We start from the raw sequence: 8,391 nt of genomic DNA, 5'->3' as shown, positions 1-8,391 counted from the left end.
AAAAAAAAAAAAAAAAAAAAAGGGCCGGGTGTGGTGGCTCATGCCTGTAGTCCCAGCACTTTGGGAGGCCAAGGTGGGCGGATTACCTGGGGTCGGGAGTTTGAGACCAGCCTGACCAACATGGAGAAACCCTGTCTCTACTAAAAATACAAAATTAGCCAGGCACAGTGGCACATACCTGTAATCCCAGCTACTCAGGAGGCTGAGGCAGGAGAATCGCTTGAACCGGGGGGGCAGAGGTTGCCGTGAGCCAAAATCATGCCACTGTGCTCCAGCCTGGCAACAAGAGTGAAACTCAAAAAGAAGAAGAAGAAGAGGAGGAGGAGAAGGAGAAGAAGAAAGGAAGAAGAAGAAGAAGAAGAAGAAGAAGAAGAAGAAGAAGAAGAAGAAGAAGAAGAAGAAGAAGGAGAAGAAGGAGAAGAAGAGGAGGAGGAGAAGGAGAAGAAAGGAAGAAGAAGAAGAAGAAGAAGGAGAAGAAGAAGAAAGAAGAAGGAAGGAAGAAAGAAGAAGGAAGGAGAAGAGGAAGAAAGAAGAAGAAGGAAGAAGAAGAGGGAGGAGGAAGGAGAAGAAGGAAGGAGGAGGAAGGAGGAGGAGGAAGGAGGAGAAGGAGGAGGAAGGAGAAGAAGGAAGAAGAAGGAGAAGGAGAAGAAGAAGAAGGCGGTTTTTATAGCTTCTGCCTAGAAGTGACATGTCAATTCAGCTCACATTTTATTGACCTGTCAAATAGCTAACCCTGGCCAGGCAAGGTGGCTCATGCATGTAATCCCAACACTTTGGGAGGCTGAGTTGGGCAGACTGCTCAAGCCCAGGAGCCCAAGGCCAGCGTGGGCAACTTGGCAAGGCTGTGTCTCTGCAAAAGAATACAAAAATTAGCTGGAGTGGTGGTGCACATGTGTAGTCCTAGCTACTCGGGAGGCTGAGGTGGGTGGATCGCTTGAGCCCAGGAGGTCCAGGCTGCAGTGAGCCATGATCGAGCCACTGCACTCCAGCCTGGGCGACAGAGTGAGACCCTGTCTAAAAATATTACAGAGATAGGCCGGGCGTGGTGGCTCACGCCTGTAATCCCAGCACTTTGGGAGGCCGAGGCGGGTGGATCACGAGGTCAGGAGATTGAGACCATCCTGGCTAACACGGTGAAACCCCGTCTCAACTAAAAATACAAAAAATTAGCCAGGAGAGGTGGCGGGCGCCTGTAGTCCCAGCTACGCAGGAGGCTGAGGCAGGAGAATTGCGTGAACCCCGGTGGGTGGAGCCTGCAGTGAGCCGAGATCGCGCCACTGCACTCCAGCCTGGGCGACAGCGAGACTCCGTCTCAAAAAATATGTATATATATTACAGAGATAGCCATAACTAATTAAAGGGGTTAGAGAAGCCAACTCTTGCCACATGCTTGGGAGAAGAACTAGAAAACCTGTGGACAGCCCTTATGACAAGCACAGCTTCCTGCGGTTCCCAGGGGAAGTTAGTGCCACAGGATGGAGGCTTTTTCTGGGATACCACCCACTGCAAGGCACCCAATAATTGAACTCTTGTTATGTGGGATGGCAACATCGATATAGAACAGAGGAGTCTGATTGACACTGACCAACTTGGGCGAGTGAACGGAAAATGCCTCTGTGAGAAGCTCAGGGTCAGCCTTGGGATCAGCAATCACCAAAAAGCCAAGCTCTCCAAGCTGCAGTGGATCTGGTTACTGAAAATCCCAGAAGTGAAGTGCCCAGCAGTGTGTATGGCTTCAGATGGCCGAGGAACATGTTAGTAGACTTCACTGGCCAGTGATCCTGGGGGAATGGATGGCATCAATGGCTGGGTTTGGGTTTATTTTCTTTTTTTAGACAGGGTCTTGCTCTCTTGCCCAGGCTGGTGTGAAGTGGTGCAGTCATAGTTCAATGCAGCCTCGACCTCCTGGGCTCAAGTGATCTTCGGCCTCTGGAAGTGCTGGTATTATAGGCATGAGCCACCACACGAGGCCAATAGCGGGGTTTCTACTGGCAAAATTAAAAAAAAAATCAAAATCAACTGGGTATGGTGGTGCCCACGTGTAGTACCAGCTACTCGGGAGGCTGGGGTAGGAGATTGAGCCTGGGAGGTCAAGGCTGCAGTGAGCCATGACTGAGCCACTGCATTCCAGCCTGGGGAACAGAATGAGACCTCATCTCTAAAAATAAAAAATACAAATAAATAAATACATAGTTGGCTACCATTGAAAATATTTAAATATCAATCTAAGATTAAATAATTTAAAAAGTCTGAGGTACAGAATGGAATATACTATACATGTTATGAATACTAGTAAATTGAAAGTAGTAATATAATGAAAAAATCTGGGTGTAGGGGAAGACTGAGGAAAATATTAAAAATAAATAGCGACTGGGCTGGGCATGGTGGCTCATGCCTGTAATTTCAGCACTTTGGGAGGTCAAGGCAGGCAGGTCACTTAAGCCCAAGAGTTCCAGACCAGCCTGGCCAAGATGGTGAAAACTGGTCTCTACTAAAAATGTAAAAACTACCCGGGCATGGTGTCGCATGCCTGTAATCCCAGCTACTCGGGAGGCTGAGGCTTGAGGATCGCTTGAACCTGGGAGGCAGAGGTTGCAGTGAGCCAAGATCGCGCCACTGCACTCCAGCCTGAGCAACAGAGTGAGACTCCGTCTCAAAAAAAAAAAAAAAAAATGAACAAAGACAGGATTTGAGCCAAAGCCCACTGCCTCCTAAATTGCTGGGATTCCCAAGAATTCAGCTTCTAGTGTGACCAAAACAAAGATGGAGACAAGTCGCCCTGCAGGGTAGGGCACAATGGAGGTGGGGGTGGGAGGGCAGAGCTGCTGACCTCTGACCTCTGCCAAGGCAGACGCATTGGACAACAGAGCAGGACCTGAGGTGAGGCTAATTCCTCCAGGTGTGAAGAAACACCTTAGGGGGGCCAGGCGCAGTGGCTCACACCTGTAACCCCAACATTTTGGGAGGCTGAGGCAGCCGGATCACCTGAGGTCAGGAGTTTGTGACCAACCTGGCCAACATGGTGAAACCCTCTACTAAAAATACAAAAATCAGTTGGTGTGGTGTCAGGCGCCTGTAATCCCAGCTACTCGGGAGGCTGAGGCAGGAGAATCACTTGAACCTGGGAGGTGGAAGTTGCATTAAGCCAAGATTGTGCCACTACACTCCAGCCTGGGCAACAGAGCGAGACTCTTGTCTCACAAAAATAAAATTAAATAAATAAATAAATAATGAGTTTATCCTTCATGGTTTTCAAATCTTTTTTTTTAAACTTGGAAGAATCTTACAGGAAATATTATTTATAGTGAAGAAACATTTATCTGAAGTTCCACAGTTCTTTCAATTAAACTTCTATTTCTGTTCCTTTTGTTAAATTCAAATAAAGTTAAATGTAATTTTAAAAATAGGATATCTAGTATTAATTGATTGTCATAAAATCTTTTTCTATTTATCTGATCAGGTGTCTAGAATGATGCTCACTAAATGTTAACAGTCATAGTTATTTCTGGGTGGTAAAATAGGGTGGTTTGTTGGTTTCTTCTTTGTTCATTTATGATCTGCTTCAAGTTTTCTAATGAACAGGTATTTTAACAATAATGATAACGTTATTAATCTTTTTCTTAAGTACTATTTTTTTTTCTTTTTTGAGACAGAGTCTTGCTCTGTCGCCCAGGCTGGAGTGCAGTGGCGCAATCTCAGCTCACTGCAACCTCCACCTCCCGGGTTCAAGATGGGGTTTCATCATGTTGGCCAGGCTGGTCTCAAACTCCTACCTTGTGATCTGCCCACCTCAGCCTCCCAAAGTGCTGGGATTACAGGTGTGAGCCACCGTTCCCGGCCTTTTTTTTTTTTTTTAAATACAGGATCTCACTCTGTCACCCAGGCTGGAGTGCAGTGGGGTGATCACAGCTCACTGAAACCTTGACCTCCCAGGCTCAAGTAATCCTCCCATCTCAGCCTCCCGAGTAGCTAGGACTACAGGTGCACACCACCTTGCCTGGCTAATTTTTGTATTTTTTTGTAGAGACAGGAGTCTTGCTATGCTGCCCAGGCTGGTCTTGAACTCCTGACCTCAAGCGATCCCCTCACCTTAGCCTCCCAAAGTGCTAAGACTACAGGTGTGAGACACTGCGCCCAGCACCCTTGCCTCTGTTCTGAATGGGCCCCACTGTGTGGTTTTCTGGACAACACTGGGTCATGCTTGAGCAAAGGTACCAGATCTCTTGGGAGCACATGTGTAGCCGGGGCATGGGGCTGGGCTCCAGGCACAGGCTCATGGGACATTGAGTCTTTGCCATTGGTTGGCGGCATTATATGTTACTGGGGCAACCCTTGACAAGCCCAGGAGAGGCCTCATAGGAGGGGTCAGGGCACTTGGTGGGTGTGCCCTGTGAGTTAGAACCTGTGAGTGGGAATTATTATCCCAGTTTCCAGATAAGGGAGCAAACTGAGGCTCAGAGAGGTTAAGGAACTTGTCCAAGCTAGTGATAAACAAAGGCAGGAGCTGGGCGCAGTGGCTCATGCCTGTAATCCCAGCACTTTGGGAGGCTAAGGCGGGCAGATTGCTTGAGGCCAGGAGTTCAAGACCAGCTTGACCAACATGGCAAAATCCCGTCTCTACTAAAAATACAAAAAATTAGCCGGGCCTGGTGGCACACACCTGTAATCCCAGCTACTTGGGAAGCTGAGGCTCGAGAATTGCTTGAACCTGGGAGGCAGAGGTTGCAGTGAGCCAAGATCACTGCACTCCAGCCTGGGTGACAGAGTGAGACTGTCTCAAAACAAACAAACAAAAAAGATGAACAAAGGCAGGACTTGAACCGAAGCCCACTGCCTCCTAAATTGCTGGGATTCCCAAGAATTCAGCTTCTGGTGTAACCAAAACAGAAGATGAGCTGGCCTGCAGGGTGGGGCACGATGGGGGTAGAGGGGGCAGAGCTGCTGACCTCTGACCTCTACCGAGACAGATGCCTTGGACAACAGAGCTGGGCCTGGGATGCGGCTAATTCCTCCAGATGTGAAGAGCACCTTGAGGGGGCTGGGCGTGGTGGCTCACGCCTGTAATCCCAGTACTTTGGGAGGCCAAGGCAGGAGGATCACTTGAGGTCAGGAGTTTGTGACCAGCCTGGCCAACATGGTGAAACCCCGTCTCTACTAAAAATATAAGAATTAGCCAGGTGTGGTGGCATGTGCCTGTAATCCCAGCTACTTGGGAGGCTGAGGCAGGAGAATCACTTGAACCCAGGAGGTGGAGGTTGCAGTGAGCCGAGATCACACCACTGCACTCTAGCCTGGGTGACAGAGCAAGATTCCATCTCAAAAAAAAAAAAAAAAAAAAAAAAAGACAGGCCCATGGCTCACGCCTGTAATCCCAGCAATTTGGGAGGTCGAGGAGGGTGGATCACGAGGTCAGGAGATCGAGACCATCCTGGCTAACACAATGAAACCCCGTCTCTACTAAAAATACAACAAATTAGCCGGGCGTGGTGGCAGGCACCTGTAGTACCAGCTACTCGGGAGGCTGAGGCAGGAGAATGGTGTGAACCCAGGAGGTGGAGGTTGCAGTGAGCCTAGACCATGCCACTGCACTCCAGCATGGGCAACAGAGCGAGACTCCGTCTCAAAAAACAAAAACAAAAACAAAAGCCACCTGGGGTGGGGGTCAGAGAGAGAGAAAGGGAAGCCCCAGAGAGAGGCGGGTGGTGGTGGGCTCTGGTGGGGTTAGCCTGCCCTCCCAGGTGAGGCCTGCCCCATGTAGGCCGTCCACCTGTGAATAGTACCAGATCGAGTATCTGCCTCACTCTCCCCCTCCTGTACCTCCTCTTCCCCCTGCTCTACTACCATGGCACGGCCCATGCCTCGGTGCACCCACTTAATGGGCCTCCTATAATCCCCTGATATCACCACCTGCCTGGCACAGGCCCTGCCGGCCAGCCCTAGCAGCCCCCAGCCTTGGAGAGCCTGTTTAGGACCCCTCACCTCAGAATCCATCTTTTCCTTCAACCTCCTCCTTCCTTCAGCTCACAGTTCAGATCTGGAACCCCACAGCCAGCCCCAAGCTGGGGACAGGAGTCCAGCATCTGCCCTGACTCTGCTGTGTGACTCCAGGTAAGTAGCCGCCCCTTTCTGGGCCTCAGGCTCCTTATCTAAGTATTCCGAACACCCAGCTCATCACACCAACCTGTCTGGGCTTCTTCTCAGCACCATGTCACTTTAGGAAACCTTGCTGTGTGTTAATTCACATGTTTCGTGCTGGTCTCCCCGACCAGACTGTGTACCCGTGAGGCAGGGACCTTACCTGCCTCATTATTCACCCTGGTGCTGGCACACAGTAGGTGCTGTGTTAATAGCTACTGGGGTCAGGTGCAGTGGCTCACACCTGTAATCCCAACATTTTGAAAGGCCAAGGTGGGAGGATCACTTGAGCCTGGGAGGTGGAGTCTACAGTGAGCTATGATGGTGCCATTGCAGTCCAGCCTAGGGAACAGAGCAAGACCCTGTCTCTCTCTCTTTTTTTTTTTTGTTTTTTTTGAGATGGAGTCTTGCTTTGTCACCCAGGCTGGAGTGCAGTGGCACGATCTCAGCTCACTCCAACCTCCGCCTCCCAGGTTCAAGTGATTCTCCTGCCTCAGCCTCCCTAGTAACTGGGATTACAGGCCTGTGCCACCACACCTGTCTAATATTTTTATATCTTTAGTAGAGACAGGGTTTCACCATGTTGGCCAAGCTGGTCTCAAACTCCTGACCTCAAGTGATCCACCCACTTCAGCCTCCCAAATTTCTGAGATTACAGGTATGAGCCACCACGCCCAGCCGACCCTGTCTCTTTTTTTTTTTTTTTTTTTTTTTTTTTGAGACGGATTCTTGCTCTGTGGCCCAGGCTGGAGTGCGGTGGCGTGATCTCAGCTCACTGCAAGCTCCACCTCCTGGGTTCACACCATTCTCCTGCCTCAGCCTCCTGAGTAGCTGGGACTACAGGTGCCCGCCACCACACCCAGCTAATTTTTTGTATTTTTAGTAGAGACGGGGTTTCACTGTTTTTTAGTCAGGATGGTCTCGATCTCCTGACCTCGTGATCCGCCCGCCTCAGCCTCCCAAAGTGCTGGGATTACAGGCGTGAGACACTGCGCCCAGCCTTTTTTTTTTTCTTTTTTATTGAGACGGAGTTTCGCTCTTGTTGCCCAGGCTCGAGTGCAATGGTGTGATCTCGACTCACTGCAACCTCTGCCTCCCAGGTTCAAGCAATTCTCCTGCCTCAGCCTCCCAAGTAGCTGGGATTACAGGCATGCGCCATCATGCCCGGCTAATTTTGTATTTTTAGTAGAGACGGGGTTTCTCCATGTTGGTCGGGCTGGTCTCAAACTCCCGACCTTAGGTGATCCGCCCGCCTCGGCCTCCCAAAGTGCTGGGATTACAGGCGTGAGCCACTGTGTCCGGCCGGGCCGACCCTGTCTCTTAAAAAAAAAACACCTGTTGGCCGGGCACAGTGGCTCACGTCTGTAATGCCAGCACTTTGGGAGGCTGAGGCGGGCGGATCACAAGGTCAGGAGTTCGAGACCAGCCTGACCAACATGGCGAAACCCTGTCTGTACTAAAAATATAAAAGTTAGCTGGGCGTTGTGGCACTTGCCTGTAATCCCAGCTACTCGGGAGGCTGAGGCAGAAGAATCACTTGAACCTGGGAGGTGAGGCAGAGGTTGCAGTGAGCCGAGATCGTGCCACTGCACTTCAGCCTGGGCGACGGAGTGAGACTCCGTCGCAAAAATAAAAAATAAAAATAAAAATAAAACACCTCTTGAGTGACTGTGTGGGCCCCTCTGCCTCCAGGTTACCACCTGACCAGGGAAGCTAGGGTGGAGCAGTATTCCAGCCCACTAGGGTGGGAGTCTGACCGATCACTGCCTGACTCAGGGGGTGGCAGGGATGAGAACTTAACATTGGTTCCATGATGGAGAGTTTGGGGGAGTACTGGAGAAAGACCAGAACCCAGCATCTGCCTCTCCGACCCTGCCCCTCTGCTGCAAGGCTTCCCCGAGGGACAGTGTCTTAGGTGTGTGTGTGTAAGTCCAAGTGTGTTGTGCCTGGGCAGAGGGAGGAGATCTCCTAGTGTATCAGAGGCTAAGACGTGGCCAGATCCCATGACCCCTGGTCCCCACCTCTGCGTGCATCTATGGGCATGAGGTGTGTGTCCCACGTCTGCTCTGTGTAGGTGCCTCTGGCTGGGCCCCCAGGGATGCACTATGGGTTCCCCTGTGTGCACGCGTGTGTCTGGGACTGTGTGTGTGATGTGTGTAGGCCTGGCATGATCCCACATATATGTACCCATGTCTACTAAAGTGTCAGCTCCACGAGGGCACGGATTTTTGTCTGTCTTGTTCCATACTCTGTCCC

This window comes from Homo sapiens, chromosome 16, assembly GCF_000001405.40.
Source record: "Homo sapiens chromosome 16, GRCh38.p14 Primary Assembly".
Lineage (NCBI taxonomy): Eukaryota > Metazoa > Chordata > Mammalia > Primates > Hominidae > Homo > Homo sapiens.
This window is presented reverse-complemented; position numbering follows the sequence as displayed.